The sequence below is a fragment of the Homo sapiens genome, chromosome 9 (genome assembly GCF_000001405.40).
Source record: "Homo sapiens chromosome 9, GRCh38.p14 Primary Assembly".
Taxonomy (NCBI): domain Eukaryota; kingdom Metazoa; phylum Chordata; class Mammalia; order Primates; family Hominidae; genus Homo; species Homo sapiens.
Genome location: NC_000009.12, coordinates 123,915,755 through 123,931,655, shown reverse-complemented (window position 1 = coordinate 123,931,655; position 15,901 = coordinate 123,915,755). Strand labels below are relative to the sequence as shown.

At 44.0% G+C, this 15,901-nt stretch overlaps 1 protein-coding gene across 28 annotated transcripts in view, besides 6 other annotated features; it reads left to right on the top strand.

Annotated features, from left to right (window-relative positions):
- Nucleotides 1,304–1,793: a silencer, noted in NCBI's record as "silent region_20252". NCBI's record gives its function as "represses an Ori minimal core promoter by ATAC-STARR-seq in GM12878 lymphoblastoid cells {active_cell/tissue: GM12878}" and the evidence as "EXISTENCE:reporter gene assay evidence [ECO:0000049][PMID:35858748]".
- DENND1A (DENN domain containing 1A) overlaps nucleotides 1,530–15,901 on the top strand; it is a 550,469-nt gene continuing 536,097 nt past the window's right edge. For 23 of the 28 annotated variants that reach the window (NR_148208.2, NM_001352965.2, XM_047423624.1 and 20 more), the window contains exon 1: nucleotides 1,530–1,767. Coding sequence is in view for 15 of the 28 variants with exons in the window: in NM_001352965.2 (NP_001339894.1) it covers nucleotides 1,732–1,767 (36 nt within the window). In the remaining 13 variants the exon portion in view is untranslated. Of the gene's footprint in view, nucleotides 1,768–1,990; nucleotides 3,062–15,901 lie in introns of those variants that run through there. The other 5 variants (XM_006717195.5, XM_011518886.4, XM_011518882.4 and 2 more) reach the window with 4 other exon arrangements.
- Nucleotides 1,973–2,658: an enhancer, noted in NCBI's record as "H3K27ac-H3K4me1 hESC enhancer chr9:126691277-126691962 (GRCh37/hg19 assembly coordinates)". NCBI's record gives its function as "activates a minimal SCP1, AML or CMV promoter by ChIP-STARR-seq in naive H9 embryonic stem cells {active_cell/tissue: H9 hESC(naive)}" and the evidence as "EXISTENCE:reporter gene assay evidence [ECO:0000049][PMID:30033119]".
- Nucleotides 1,973–2,673: a biological region, named in NCBI's record as "H3K27ac-H3K4me1 hESC enhancer GRCh37_chr9:126691277-126691962".
- Nucleotides 2,144–2,343: an enhancer, noted in NCBI's record as "active region_28955". NCBI's record gives its function as "activates an Ori minimal core promoter by ATAC-STARR-seq in GM12878 lymphoblastoid cells {active_cell/tissue: GM12878}" and the evidence as "EXISTENCE:reporter gene assay evidence [ECO:0000049][PMID:35858748]".
- Nucleotides 2,594–2,673: an enhancer, noted in NCBI's record as "active region_28954". NCBI's record gives its function as "activates an Ori minimal core promoter by ATAC-STARR-seq in GM12878 lymphoblastoid cells {active_cell/tissue: GM12878}" and the evidence as "EXISTENCE:reporter gene assay evidence [ECO:0000049][PMID:35858748]".
- Nucleotides 3,724–3,773: an enhancer, noted in NCBI's record as "active region_28953". NCBI's record gives its function as "activates an Ori minimal core promoter by ATAC-STARR-seq in GM12878 lymphoblastoid cells {active_cell/tissue: GM12878}" and the evidence as "EXISTENCE:reporter gene assay evidence [ECO:0000049][PMID:35858748]".

The window sequence follows — 15,901 nt, the reverse complement described above, 5'->3', positions numbered from 1 at the left end:
GTGAATAAACACCACAGAGCTCCTGCCTGTCTAGCAGAGCTTTGCTCCTGGGGGTGTTTACAAGTCGGTATTGGTGTCTGGGTGCATAAGACTTTAAATTCAAAATGACAGTTTGGACATTTTCACTTTTTTTTTGGTTTTCATTTTAAAAAGTTTACCCTTTGACTTCAACAACCTAAAGGCAGAGGCAAAAGGGAGAAACTATCTTTATTCAGAAGGTGACTCCAACAGAAGAAGTCTTCTACGACTTATCTTCTGGCTTTCTTTCCTCCCATCCTGGCCGGGAGCTAGGACGCAGGACCAGTTACGTAGAGGCTATGGGGTGGGGGTAGGGTGGGGAGGCACTCCATGCATTTATAAGAACTAAAATGGCAGAAGTGATGAATGGCATTTCGGGACAGAAAATTGGAAAAAAAAAAAAAAAAAGGAAAAAAAGCCTAATATTAAAAATGTCTTTGGACTTGTGGCCAAAGGTGCCACCTTAAAGCATGACTATGTCACAGGTGTCTGGAATGATTCAGTCTGGACACTAATCTTGGCTTCTTCACTCGTTGCTAGTTATGTGACCTTGGGAATGTGGCTCAGTTTCCTCTTTGTAAATTAGGGAGATGAACACAGGATTATTGTGAGGATTGGCACTAATGATGTACGGAAATACTGTGTCTGATGCAGAAAGGGCACTCACCCGCTCATTAAAGGGTGGCTAATGGTAGCTGTGATTATTGCTTCCTTTATGATCCCTCTGGCCCTAGAGGGGATGAAATTGAGGTGTTCATGGAAGTGAATCCCAAGGGGGAGCAGGGGTAGGTAGCAGGCTGGTGATCTCGGCTCTCAAATCCTTTCATTTGCATTGAGTTAATCTCTATCAGGGACTGTTGTGTTAACAGGAGGCTTCGATGTTGGAGTTCCCAAAACGGCTGATAAAGGGAGGCAGAGGTCCTCAGCGGGAGGGCAGAGCTGAGCCACCACGTGGGTCCACGAAGCCCCCAGGTGGCTTTCCTGTAGGTATGTGGGGTCTCCTTCAAGCTCTAAGGGGAAAGGAAGAGGAAAGGCCTTCAGATGGGGAAGTGGACGGTGTGATGGAGAAGAGGTTCTGCACGGAACTTACTGGAAGGTGCGGGATGTTAAAGGGAAAACGTGTTTTCATGGAGGCCTGGGCGGGGGATTAGCTCTCCGTTAGAGAGGCTGGGTGGGAGGCCTCCAATGGGAGGATTGGTGGCGGTTTCATCGGGAGGGCTTGGGGTCTCCATGAGAGGATTAGGGTCTCTTCAGGGCGGCTGTGAGTGGAGGTTTCCAGCGGGGCGCAGTGGGGTGCAGATGTGTAAGGGCCTGCAACGGAACGCCAGAGTCCTCCGGGGCCCGCGCCCTGGGAGACGTGCGGGTGACCGCGCTCCCGCCCCGCCCCCACCGGCCACGGCCCCGCCCCCGCGAGCGGACTACACTTCCCAGCAGCCCCAGCGGGCAGCGGCGGCGGCAGCGCGGGCGGGAGGGGCGGTGGTGAGAGGCGGAGGGGGCGGCGCGCGCCGGGCACGCGCGCCGGCGACCATGGCGTTCGCCGGGCTGGAGCGAGTACATTAACCCCTGGAGGCGGCGGCGGCGGCGAGGGAGCGAGCCTCGAGCGGGCGGGCCCCAGCCTGAGGGAAGGGAGGAAGGGGCGGGGAGAGCGCCAGAGGGAGGCCGGTCGGCCGCGGGCGGGCGGGCAGCGCAGCGCCGAGCGGGGCCCGCGGGCCCATGAGGAGGCCTGGGGACCATGGGCTCCAGGATCAAGTGAGTGCGGCCGGGCCGGGCGGAGCCGGGCCGGGCGCGGGGCGGCGAGGCCGGGCCAGGGCTGCAGGCCGCGGGCCGCGCGGGGGACTTGTTGCCGAGACCAGAGGGGCGCCCCGCGTGACGCCGGCACGCGGGGAGGGGGACGGTTGCTATGGCGATCCAGGGAGGCGCGGGGGCGGGGTGCGCGCGGGGTGGCAGGGCGCCGGGGGTCAGGTGTCCCCTCCTCACCTGGGGGTCGGAACAGCTGAGATTACAGGGCGGCCCCCTCCCCGGGTTTACGGAGAGCCCCTGAAAATGGTCCTTCAACTGTGGGGAAGGGGAGTGGGAAAGCCCCGGAAGCACCTCCCCATGTTTGGGCATGTTTGGGGCGCCCCTGAAAGTTGGCAGGTCCGGAGAGGTTGCAGCCTGGCCGCTTGAGGCCTGCGGCCCCCACAGAAGTCGCGTGAGGTTCTTAGAGGGAGGGGCCGCTCATGGTGTGGCCACCTAAGGTGTGGATGGCCGGGGAGGAAGGCCTGTCTCTCTATTTCCCCCCTCTTATCTGTGAAAATCTCCACGCAGCAAGGTCCAAAGGCTGTGAAGGAGGATACCTCTGTGTTGTAACCGAGCACCTGCTCTTGATAATCGTTGGAAAGGCTTTGTAACTCAATCTGGCGAATTCCCTCACTCATTCATTCACCTGGAGTTCCCGGTGGAGGGTTAGCTTTCCGGGGAAATTGTTGATACATGTAACTTCAGAATCCACTGAAACATTGTTGCTGTCCTTGTAGACTTAGAAGTTGACTTTGGAAAGTGCAACTCTTAAGCGGTCCAATTTGGGTGTGTGGCTTTCGACTCTATCTCCCCTCCCAGCCAGGTCCTCTTGTGGCCTCTCCCTTCCTCTGCCCCAGAACTGGAGATGTTTTATCTCTAATTACTAACAAATGTTCACTTTTTCCTCTGTGACTAATAGAATTGTTTAAGGGCATTAAAAAGCAAAGTTGACAGCATAGGCTTTTCTGTAAAACAACTTTCCTAGGACACTTTAAACCCTCTTACAAGAAAGTTTGTGGAATGTGTTTATTTCAGCATTTTGAGAATTGTACTAGGGAAGTTTGAAAGGAGAAGGGCCTTAAGGGTGAAACTAATAATTATTCAAACATTGCATCTCATGTCCAGGTGATGCCCGTGCAGTGTGACCCTTGCCCAGCCTTGCAGTCCCCCGTGTGGTTAGGCTTCTCATTTACAAAATATGTATGAGATGCGCTGCAGCAGCCTTGAGACATCTGCTGAATGAAACTAGAAAAGTTTGCTTATGGTAATGAAAATGGAAGAGTCGCATGAACACTCTGTTAAATCTTTATTTTTGTGGAAATGAGAAAAAAGTTAGAAGCATGCTCCAAACAAGAGCTTGAGAGGCTTGGGAGGTAAAAAGATGTCGTTTGTGAAACATTGGGATTAAAGAGGCACTCAAGTTTAGCTCCTGCTTCCAAGTAAGAGTTGTAAACTTGGATTTCAATAGCACTTAGAAACACTTTCCAGAAGCCAACTTAGAGTTGCAGAGTATGCGTGAGGACACTTACCCTTCTTGTTACAGAAAAGTTCAGAAACTTGCCTGACATGAAGCAGTGAGTGTCAGAACCAGTATTAAAATCCAGCAAGTAAAAGTTCAGATGGCTAGCCATCAAATCTCTCTGTTGCTCTCCAAGGTAGCAGGTTGACAAATACATTTCTCAAATGTGTTTTGTGGAACCCATCGCTAATTCTGAGCACTTGGGTTAGGGAATTTACTAAGGCATGGAATTGTATTAAGCGTGAAATGAGTATGAAGAATAGCCTTATTGATCTTGAAACTAGACTACTCTGTGATAAAAACTTAGGCTTGGGAAATATGTTAGCTTGTGGTGAAACCGAAAGAGAATATGAAGAGAGAAGTTATGAAAAGTAGTTGTGATTTATAGTGACTGTTGATTATGCAACTTCTGCCTGTAGCTAGGAATGGGGATGGACAGGAAATTACCCACTTAAGTGCTCCTCTAGTTGTTGGAGAAGACAGAGCTTTGGTTACTACTGGCTGGCTTTCCCTCCTGGCAGGGCATTCAAGATGTTCTCCTGGCTGTGGTGAAATCTAAGTGTGCAGGTTCCATTGAATAGGACAGTCTTGGAGGTAGGGACAAGGGGGAGGGGTTCCTTTTGTTTTCTCTTGCTTATCTCTGATGCAGCAAGTCAGTTGACTAGGTGGAATCAGGTCTAGGTTCAAATTCCAGCTCTTTTTAATGCTAATTATGAAACTTTACACAGACTGCCTTTTCAACCTCAGTTTCCCTGAAGGTAAAATGGGGAGGACTGTGTCCAGGTTGTAGGGTTATTATGAGCATTGAACACAGTATCAATGTAAATGTCAGGTCCATGTTAAAAACTCAGTAATTGTTAGGTTTTTTTCTTTTTTTTCACCTTCTGTATCAAAAGACTAAGAACATTACTGTATATTAGAAATGTCAGAGAAAGGTATGTTTAAGGTAATGGAGAAGAAAATTTTAATGACCAAGGAATTAGGCTGTTAACATGCAGAGTAGGGCTTAACATTGTCTCATTATTAAAAAATAAAAGTTGATTTAAAACAATATTGTGTGTAATTGTGAAGCTGGTGTCTGTTGTGTGATCAGTGGTAAAGCACGTGAGTTGCTAGGCACAGGTGTTGAGATTTCGTGTTTGATCAGACTTCTCTTTTAAGTTTAAGCCTGGTTGAACACAATCTCTGTCAGGTACCGTGGAAATCCTTAATGTGAACCATTTCATGAAACCCTCACTACTGTCCAGTGGTGGCGATGCTATTTATTAACCACATTTTTCAAATGAGAGAATGGGAGTTTATAGGCCTAAGATCAGATGCCATCCCCCAGACGCCTGCCTTGATGCCAGTTTCCTGTTGCCACCCCCACCCCCTCCTGTTCCAGTCTAGGCCAGGTGCCCTTCATCCGTGTTTCTGTGGCCCCTTGTGTTTATTGCAGTCACAATACTGAATCTCGTTTCTTGTCTGTGTCCCGTACCATGCTGGACATAAACTTCTTGAGAGGAAGGACTGTCTTATTTATCTTTGAGTTCCCTGTGTCAGACTCAATGCCTGGCACATGGTTGTTTGAGAAGAGTTCATGGAACGCATTTAAGAAATACATTAGGATCTATATTAAGATTCTAATTAAGACCGAGTTGAGTGTTTATCGAGTTAAAAAAAAAACCCTTGAGGAAGAAAAGTTTTATATTTTATAAATTTCTAAGGCAAATTATATGGTTTACGCAGGCCTTTTACTAGATTATTTAGTTCTTTTTTTTTTTTTTTTTTTTGAGATGGAGTTTTGCTCTTGTTGCCCAGGCTGGAGTGCAATGGCATGATCTTGGCTCATGGCAACCTCCAACCCCCGGGTTCAAGCGATTCTCCTGCCTCAGCTTCCCCAGTAGTTGGGATTACATGCATGAGACACCATGCCTGGCTAATTTTCTTTATTTGGTAGAGACGGGTTTCTCCCGTGTTGGTCAGGCTGGTCTTGAACTCCCAGCCTCAGGTGATCTGCCTGCCTTGGCCTCCCAAAGTGCTGGGATTACAGGTGTGATGTGAGCCACCGTGCCCAGCCTCATGTTTATTTTAATAAAGGAACATTGTCTTGCCTCAAATCAACATTTAATGGACAAAAAAAGAGAAGGTCACCAGTATGCAGGTAGCACCCTGGAAACCTAAATGTTACATCTGTATGGACATTTATCTAGAAGAATAAAAGGAGCAGTGGTAACTGACAATCTTCAACAGGTATTTTTAAATCTTATTTAGTGTTTGAATGATCCCAGTGGACTGGAATGTGGTTAATATGAAGCAATTTAACTGATAATGCAGACACACAGCAGGAAACTATGTGGCAGTTTAATATTGCTTGTGGTGACATCCTAGAAATTGCTTCCAGGCACCAAGTGCAGGAAGTGGGCTGTAAGTAATCGAAGGAAGTTTTCTAAGTGAGTTTGAAGAAACGTGACATTTATGGACTCAGAGAAAAGCATACTCTAAGACTTGAGGCATAGGAACAGGGCAGGGCAACTAATTTGGCCTTGTGGTGGTGATTATTCTACATTAGCCTGTATACCTGTCTTCTGTCCCTGTCAAACTGTGACCTCTGTGAGGTTAGTGACCAAGAAATTTATCCATTTATTCATCCATTTACCTACTGTAGAACTAAGAAGATTAAGCACATATTAAACAATAAATGTTAGCCATTATTATCATAATTAGTGGCAATACTGTGCCTGGCAGTGTGCTAAGTACTGGGGACACAAAGATGAACAAATATTTTTCTTTAAGGCTTTCTAAAGTAGTGGACACAAATGTAAAACAAAAACAATCCCTTCCAGACTCCCTCCCCACCAAAACAAAACAAAACAACAAAAAAAACAAAACACAAGTATAATACAGTATAAGTTAATTGCAATGGTGGAGATGCCGCTGGTGACGAATAGGTGAGTAAGTGAAGGAGAGACTGTCTTCTGGGGAGGAGGGAGGGTCAGGAAAGGAAGCCTTCACCAAGGGGATCATGTTTCAGCTGAGAGATAGGTAGGGGTGGTTAGCAGAGGGAGTAGAGGCAGTAGTGATGGTGGTGGTATCAGCAGAGGGAGCAGTACATATGAGGACGTGGCATATTAGGGAAATAAAAATATTACCATTTATTCCTGGCACTTAAATGCCAGGAATTGTGTTAGACATTGGGAATTACGATGGTGAATAATACAGATTCACTCCTCACGGTGCATACAGTCTTGTGGACCTGACATTAAAAAAACCAGGTGAATTCACATAAAGCTATGTGGATGTTCTATAAAGGAAGCACATGAGTTGCCTCAGAGAAAATGATGGGAGCGACTGTCCTATTTTAGATAGAGTGGCGAGGGAAGGCCTCACTGTGGAGATGACATTTGAGCTGAGACTTAAAGGATGAGGAGGTATTAGTCATCTAAAGAGACTAGGCAAGACTTTTTATTCCAGGCCTTGAGGCAAGAAAACCCTAGGCATATTTCAGGAACGGACAGAAGGCCAGTGGGTTTGAGTAGTGACTGATGGCAGAGAGGCTTGTGGTGAGGTCAGAGGGAGAGACCCTGGACAGGGCCTTGTAGGTTGTGGTAATCTGAAAACTGTTTAAGATACGAAATTTTATAGTATGTGAATCTTATAAGATTACAACATAAGATTCACATACTATAATATTTACTTTTTTTTTTTTTTTGAGACAGTTTCACTCTGTCCCCCAGGCTGGAGTGCAGTGGTGTGATCTTGGCTCACTGCTACCTCCGCCTCCTGGGTTCAGGTGATTCTTATGCCTCAGCCTCCCAAGTAGCTGGGACTGCAGGTGCCCGCCACCATGCCTGACTAGTTTTTGTATTTTTAGTTTCACCATGTTGGCCAGGCTAGTCTCAAACTCCTGATGATCCGACTGCCTTGGCCTCCCAAAGTGCTGGGATTACAGGCATGAGCCACTGTGCCCAGCCCTAAAATTTACTTTTTTAAGTGGTTTTAAGTATATTCACAAGGGTGATTGATTACCACTAATTCCAGAACTTTTTCATCACCCCAGAAAGAAACCCCATGCCTGTTAGACACTCCTCATTCCCCCAAACCCTTCAGTCCTAGGCAATCACTAATCTACTTGCTATAGATTTGCCTTTTATGGGCATTTCATATATTAATAAATAGAATCATATATAACCCGTCCTGCGTGGCTTCTTTCACTTAATGATTTCAAGATTTATCCATGTTGGAGCATGCATGAGTGTTTCATTACTTTTTACTGCTGAATAATATTCCATTGTATGGACATACCACATTTTACTCATCCATTTGTCAGTTGTTAGGTATTTGGGTTGTTTCCCCTTTTCATCATTATGAATGATGTTGCTATGAACATTTTGTGTGGACATATGTTTTTATTTCGCTTGGGTATATACTTAGGAGTGGAATTGCTGGATCTTTTGGTAACTCTATGTAACATTTTGAGAAACTGTTAAAATTGTTTCCTAAAGCAGCTGTACCACTTTGTGTAAAGTGGTATTTTATTGTGGTTTTGATTTGGCCCAAATGAGTTACATAGAAAAGATCAGTGTAGACGGAGATAGGTTTCTAGGAAGAGGTTGGAACTTGAACTGAAAGAAAGGGGAGATTTGGAGAATGGAGGGGGATTACCAAAGGAAGACAAGTGGAAGTTATATGACTTGAAAGTGAGGATAAACCGATCTCATTTCAAGAATAGAGGAGCAGTGTTGGCTTATGATAGCTCTGCTCCAGTTTGTTTAAAGGATCCCATTGCCAAAATACACAAAAAGTTTGCTTTTTCTTGAGGCCTGTTGTATAGCACAACTAACGTATCTCTCTGCTTTGTGATGAGACCAAGAATTGGAATGTGACTTCCTTCCAGGCCTTCTTCCTCTAATGCCTATTCCCCTCTTCCCTTTCTCCGCCACAGTGCTGTCCTCCCTGTCCCCAAAGGAGAATGTAGAGAGACTTGGAGTGGTGGAATAAAAGTCTCTTTGAAGACCAAGCTCTCCATCGTTAGTGCTCAGAGTCAGCCACTTGAATTTTCATGACTTTTCTGGAAAACATGTTGGTGCTACTCCATCACTCTTTTCTTAGCCATTGTAGTCAACTTAGAGGGCATTGTACAGCAGATAGGAAGGTTGAAACAGAAGGTAAGACCTGGAGTATTGCTCTAGGAAAGTATGTTTGCATTGAGTTATTAAATCTGTGTAAGTTCCTGGCTGGAGTTCCGGTTGCAGTTGCAAAGGTCCAGCCTTTTTCCTGGCCCTAGGGAGAGCTAATCTCTGGGTTCGTAACATCCTTTTTGCTTAAAGGGGCTTTGTAGGGACATGGAAAGATAAACAAGGAAGAAAAATAAACAAAATGAAGTTGTTTTGTTCTCTACTTTTATTGGAATCCGTACCCATTCTTTCCGAGTATTCAGGACTTGAAAAGGAGCCAAATAAAGTAAGAAAAGATATGTTAAAATACATATATGTTCCTATAGAAAAGAGAGGTGACATTCCAAAAGTTCATTTGGACGTTGGTTATGACATTTAGAATGTGTTTCCCTCTTCAAGATACTGTTATGTACAAATCAGTAACTGTTGAGGGCAAGGGCATTCCAGATATAGGGAACTGTGTATGCAAAAGTCATGGGGAGATAAAAGGTAAAGCTGAAATACAGGATATAAGGATAAAGATTACAGGAGAGGAAGTTGATGAAGTAGGCATGTGCCAGTGGGATATGATGCCATTGAAGGGTTGAACTGGGGATGTACTATGATCAGATTTGGGTTTTTAGGTAGATTACCCTGGCAGCAGCAGTTTAGAACAGTGATATCTCTGGCTTTTACAAGATGACGCATTGGAACGTGAGAATATGTTAGAAATTGTATTTATTTTTATATCAACCTTCAAAGTTTGTATTTTTTAATGTATGTGTTAGTATAGTAAGGCATTATTATAATTTATGGATATTTATCAGATGTATGCTCACTTTTTTACTGATAGGAAGAATGCATGGAAAAAAATGGGAGGCCACTGGATTGTGGAACTGTGTAAATAGTTTTTACTGCTGAAGATCAAGGTCCAGAGCAAGGTTTTGGCAGTGTAAAGAAAAGGAATGACAGGCCGGGCGTGGTGGCTCATGCCTGTAATGCCAGCACTTTGGGAGGCCAAGGAGGGTGGATGGCTTGAGTCCAGGAAGTTGAGACCAGCATGGGCAACATGATGAAACTCTGTCTTTACAAAAAAATACAACAATTAGCCAGGTGTGGTGGCATGTATCTGTGGTCCCAGCTACTTGGGAGGCTGAGGTGGGAGGATCACTTGAGCTCCCACAGAGCTCAGGAGACGGAGGTTGCAGTGAGTCAAGATCACGCCACTGCATTCCAGCCTGGGTGACAGAGTGAGACCCTGTCTCAAAAAGAAAAAAGAAAAAAAAAAAAAAGGATGGCTTTGAGAGATTTTAAGTAGAAATGACAAGACTTGGTGACAAATTACACGTAAGAGGCAAAAGAAGAATCAAAGATGACTTGCCAAGGTTAGCAGAGTTATGTTACAAATGGAGTATTTGTGAGGTGAGGACTGGTTATATGTTTGCTTTTCTGAGGAAAAGTGAAAAGTTATAATTGGGATAAGGCATTTTAGTCTGCATTGAGAATGGAAGGAATCTTTGAGGGATCCATAGTGAATGTGTGTGCTTTATTGAATGAGTAAGACTTGAAGTGGGCTGGACTAAATTGCTGAAGGCAAATCTGTTCATGGTAGATTTAGAGAGGGGGAAAAGAAAAACCACCTTTTGAATTCACTTTAGCCACAGGAAAGGTTTGAGGGTGTTGCATTGATCTCGCATAGGCTGTATGAATAAATGGAAGGAAGGAAACCAATCTAGAGAAGATACTGTTTGACTCCACGCTGGCAGTTCTTGAACTCCGGGGTGTGAGAGGAGCCAGGGGTATGTGAGCATTGGAGTACTGAGTTCCCAGAACTATACATTCTCCCTCTGAGTTCTAAATTTCTGAGCTTCAGGTTAAAAAAATAATATTTATGGAAGGAAGCTAATAAATTAACCTACAGGGTTGTTGTGATAATTAAAAGAGATATTGTGCCTAGTTCTCAGTGGAGATATGACTGCTTATTAAATGGCAGCTATCATTAATATTGCTTGGAGAGGAGAAAACACAGTTGTCTGAACAACCTGGAGTTAAAAAACAAGTTAAAAAACAGCAAGTATGTTCCTTTTTATAGTATTACAGTTTTTTTTGGTTTTGTTTTTAAAAACCAAAGTATTTGCTTCCTTTCAGTAAGAATGTTAGGATGACGTGTAGTGTATTTCACTGAATTTGTTTGAAAGATTGAGATGCTGATATATACAAAGCACTATTGCTCTTGCTGGTTGGGAAGAAAGGAAGCCTATAGTCTACTAAGACAGGTAAGATGAGCGTGCAAACAATTAGAATTATAACATTTAAGAACACTTATGTCCCCAGCCAGGCCCGGTAGCTCACACCTGTAATCTCATCACTTTGGGAGGCTGAAGCAGGCAGATCATTTGAAGTCAGGAGTTCGAGATCAGTTGGGCCAACATGGCAAAACCCCATCTCTACTAAAAAAAAAAAAAAAAATTACAAAAATTAGCTGGGCATGGTGGCGCATGCCTGTAATCCCAGCTACTTGGGAGGCTGAGGTGTGAGAACTGCTTGAACCCGGGAAGGGGAGGTTGCAGTGAGCTGAGATTGCACCACTGTACTCTAGCTTGGGCAACAGAGCAAGACCCTGTCTTGAAGTAAAAAAACCACTTAATGTTCCCTTTATCATAAATATTGGAAATCTATTCAGTTTTATAAAAGATTTATACAAATAATTTATATTTATCTCTGTTTAACTGGTACTACTTTTCAGTCTTTTTAAAGTGTTTTTTTTGTGTGTGTGTGACAGAGCCTTGCTCTTGTCGCCCAGGCTGGAGTGCAGTGGCACGATCTTGGTTCACTGCAATTACTACCTCCTGGATTCAAGCTTCCTCTGCTTCAGCCTCCTGAGTAGCTGGGATTACAGGCACCTGCCACCATGTCCGGCTAATTTTTCGTACTTTTAGTAGAGACGGATTTCTCCAGTTTGGCCAGGCTGGTCTCAAACTCCTGACCTCAGGTGATCCGCCCGCCTCGGCCTCCCGAAGTGCTGGGATTACAGGCTTGAGCCACCATGCCCGGCCTTAAAGTGATTTTTTATTCTTTTTCTTCTTGGTGCTTGAACCTATTTTTAAACTTTATTTTGGAAAATTTTAAACATCTATAAAAGTAGAATAGTATAATGAGCCCCCAAATTCCCATCAACCAGTTTCAACACTTAATTTATGTTTTACCTAGTTTTATTTATAGATAACTGACTGTAACTCCCTCCCCTGCTCTCTAGTCCTGGATTATTTTGAAGCAAATCCCAGATGTTGTCATATCATCCTTTTTTTTTTTTTTTTTTTTCTGAGACAGAGTCTCACTCTGTCACCCAGGCTGGAGTGCAGTGATGCAATCTCGGCACGCTGCAACCTCCACCTCCCAGGTTCAAGTGATTCTCGTGCCTCAGCCACCCCAGTAGCTGGGATTACAGGTGTGCACCACCATGCCTGGCTAATTTTTGTATTGTTGGTAGAGATGAGATTTCACCATTTTGGCCAGGCTGATCTCAAACACCTGACCTCAAGTGATCTGCCTGCCTCCACCTCCCAAAGTGCTGGGATTACAGGTGTGAGCCACCATTCCAGGCCGCAGATGTCATATCATTCTTAAATACTTCCATATGTGCCTCTAAAAGGTAGATTTTTCTTTTTAAAAAACATAACATTTTCACACCTAAAAAGTTAACCAAAAAATTTAATTTTTAATTTTTTTTTTTTAGTTGAAGTTGTACTTTGTCACCCAAGCTGGAGTGCAGTGGTGTGATCTCGGCTCACTGCAACCTCTGCCTCCTGGGTTCAAGCGATTCTCCTGCCTCAACCTCCCCAGTAGCTGGGATTACAGGTGTGCGCCACCATGCCCAGCTAATTTTTGTGTTTTTAGTAGAGACAGGGTTTCACCATGTTGGTCAGGCTGGTTTCAAACTCCTGACCCCAAGCAGTCCACCCACCTAGGCCTCCCAAAGTGCTGGGATTACAGGCATGAGCCACTGCACCCGGTCAAAAAATTTTAATGTTATTAAATATCCAGTCAGTGTTCAAAGTTTTTCAGTTATGTCAAATTTAAAAAAAACGGTGGATTCGTTTGAATCAGCGAAGTTCATACATTGCAATTGGTTGATATTTGCTGTCTTTTTCCCCCATGCAGTTTATTTTTTGAAGAACTGGGTTATTTGTCCTATATGATTTCCGTTGCATCCTTAAGGTTTGTTTAATGTATTCCTCTGTCCCCTTTATTTCCTACAAATTGGTAGTTGGATTAAGTGACTTGATGAGATTCAAGTTCACTTTCTTGGCAAGAATATTTTAAAAGTGGTGATAGGTACTTCCATCAAGAGGTACATTATGTCTGGTTATCTCTCTTTGATCTGTTCATTAATTAGAGGTTATAAAATGGTGATATTTTGTTTCTATCACTTCTTCTTCATACTAGCTGGGATACTTGTAAAAAGAAACCTTTTCCATATCAACCATTTGGTTGCTCTGAGATACAGTTCATATAGGAAAGGCAGGGTAAATGCTTGATTTTATTAATTTTTTAAACATTTTCAAAAGGTAATTTTTGAGAGAGGGGAGTGTCACTTTAAATGGATGTATTTAAACTTATTGGCTATATTTCAATCTGCTGTAGTTACTGTCCTCACTGATGTTTAATTTGTCCTATCTTTGTCCAGTGGGAATTTCTTCTTTTTTTTTTTTTTTCTGAGACGGAGTCTCCCTCTATTGCCCAGGCTGGAGAGCAGTGGCGTGATCTCAGCTCACTGCAAGCTCCGCCTCCCGGGTTCACGCCATTCTCCTGCTTCAGCCTCCCGAGTAGCTGGGAGTACAGGCGCCCGCCGCCACGCCCGGCTAATTTTTTGTATTTTAAGTAGAGATGGGGTTTCACCGTGTTAGCCAGGATGGTCTCGATCTCCTGACCTCATGATCTGCCCGCCTTGGCCTCCCAAAGTGCTGGAATTACAGGCATGAGCCACCACGCCCGGCCTGTCCAGTGGGAATTTCAAGTGAACTCTGAAGTCCTTTTAACAGGATCCCAGTAGTTTCTTTTCTTTTATTTATTTATTTATTTATTTTTTTTGAGACAGAGTCTCATCCTGTTGACCAGGCTGGAGTGCAGTGACGCGATCTTGGCTCACTGCAAGCTCTGCCTTCCGGGCTCACGCTATTCTCCTGCCTCAGGCTTCCAAGTAGCTGGGACTACAGGTGCCCGCCACCACGCCCGGCTAATTTTTTTTTTGTATTTTTAGTAGAGATGGGGTTTCACCGTGTTAGCCAGGATGGTCTCGATCTCCTGACCTTGTGATCTGCCTGCCTCGGCCTCCCAAAGCGCTGAGATTACAGGCGTGAGCCACTGTTCCCGGCCAGGATCCCAGTAGTTTCTAATAGCTCCCTTGCCTTTTGGTATGACAGAGTGTCCCAGACTCATCATCTGTGTTTCCTCCTCCAGACCCAGTGTTTCTCTAAGGAGTCCTGGTTCCTTTTGGTGGGAAATAGTATTAGAAATCACAGCCTGGGATTTAGGACTTTTGGGGATGGGGTGGGTTTGCTACCAGGTCAGTCATAATTTCTAGGATTCTCCAGGGGTCAGAATTTGGGAATATGTGTGTGTGTTTTTAAAGGTAAATTGCATTATGTGTTCATATTGCTTTTTCCAGTTCTAGACTATAGCAGTTTTATTTAACCTCATCACTTTTACATTGGAATTTTCCATACCTATATCAAAGTCTTGATTTCCAACAACACCAACACCATTACTCTTTTGCTTTATCCCGCAATACCTAGACAGCTCAACAGCAGCACTAACATTACCGTCAACAATGCGATTACTGAAAATAGTTATGTTTTTGGCTTTTTAAAACTTGGCAGTTCTTTTGGTCGTTAGGGTATATTTCACTGGGACTGTAGTCAAATTACTGTTTTAAAGTCAGTAGAATTGGTTTTTTTCTGTGGTTGTGTCTCCAACTCAATACAAAGTTAGTTTTTTGTTGTTGTTGTTGTTTTGTTTTTTGAGACAGGGTCTTGCTCGGTCGCCTGGGCTGGAGTGCAGTGGCACGATTTCGGCTCACTGCAATTTCTGCCTCCTGTGTTCGAGTGATTCTCCTGCTTCAGCCTCTTGAGTACCTGGGACTACGGGTAACTGCCACCATGCCCAGCTGATGTTTGTATTTTTAGTAGAGACAGGGTTTCACTTTTTTGGCCAGGCTGGTCTCCTGACCTCAAGTGATCTGCCCACTTTGGCCTCCCAAAGTGCTGGGATTACAGGCAGGAGCCACCGTGCCTGGCCCATAGTTAGGTTTTTATAATTTTTTCTTTTAATCTGTTGGAATTACTGTTTAAAAATAATTTGATTTTTAAAACAATTACTTAAAATATTTATATTGTTTCAAAGCCAAAGCTACAAAACAGGCATATTCATAAGTCTAACTTCTATCCCTGCCTACCACCGTGTTCCTTCCCTGACATAGGTACCGAGTTTGATTTTAGATTTTCATTTGTCCTTCCATTAAAACAAAAAAGGCAGCCGGGCACAGTGGCTCACGCCTTTAATCCCAGCACTCTGGGTGGCCAAGGCGGGCAGATCACCTGAGGTCGGGAGTTCGAGACCAGCCTGACCCACATGGAGAAACCCCGTCTCTACTAAAAATACAAAAATAAGCTGGGCGTGGTGGCACATGCCTGTAATCCCAGCTACTCGGGAGGCTGAGGCAGGAGAACTGCTTGAACCTGAGAGGCAGAGGTTGCGGTGAGCCGAGATTGTGCCATTGTACTCTAGCCTGGGCAACAAGAGCAAAACTCTGTCTCAAAAAAAAAAAAAAAAAAGCAAATACGTAGATATATTCACATCTCCTCTTGCCAGGCCCTCAGATAAGTGATAGCATTCCATGTATACTTTTCGCCCCTTAACTTTTCTCATTTTATAATATATCCTGTAAAGAGGTCTCTCCTGGAAAAATACAGGGAATGTGGGGCTCTTCCTCATTTCTCTGTAGGACAGCAATAGTACTCTATTGGATGGATGGACTATGGTTTATTCAACCCATCTCATACTGACGGGCACTTAGGTTGCTTCTAGTCTTTTATTATTACAAATGGTGCAGTAATGAATAGTCTTGTGTATGCACCTTTTTGTATTTTTACCATTATACCATTGCGATAGATTTTTCCAAGTGGAATTTGGGTCAAAGGGTAATTTTGTATGTAATTTTGCTAGATATTGTCAAATTCTCCTCCATAGAGATTGTGCCAATTCATATTCCCACACGAGAATGCTTGTTGTCATACAGCTTCATCAACAGAGTGTTTGTCAAACTTTAAAAATTATTTTTATCAGTTACAAGTGCATGCAAAGTTACAAACATATATGGTCACGAATCAAATACTTAATAAGAGCCTGTGATAAGCAACAATCCTCTACCCTATTCTTCCCTAGTCCCACT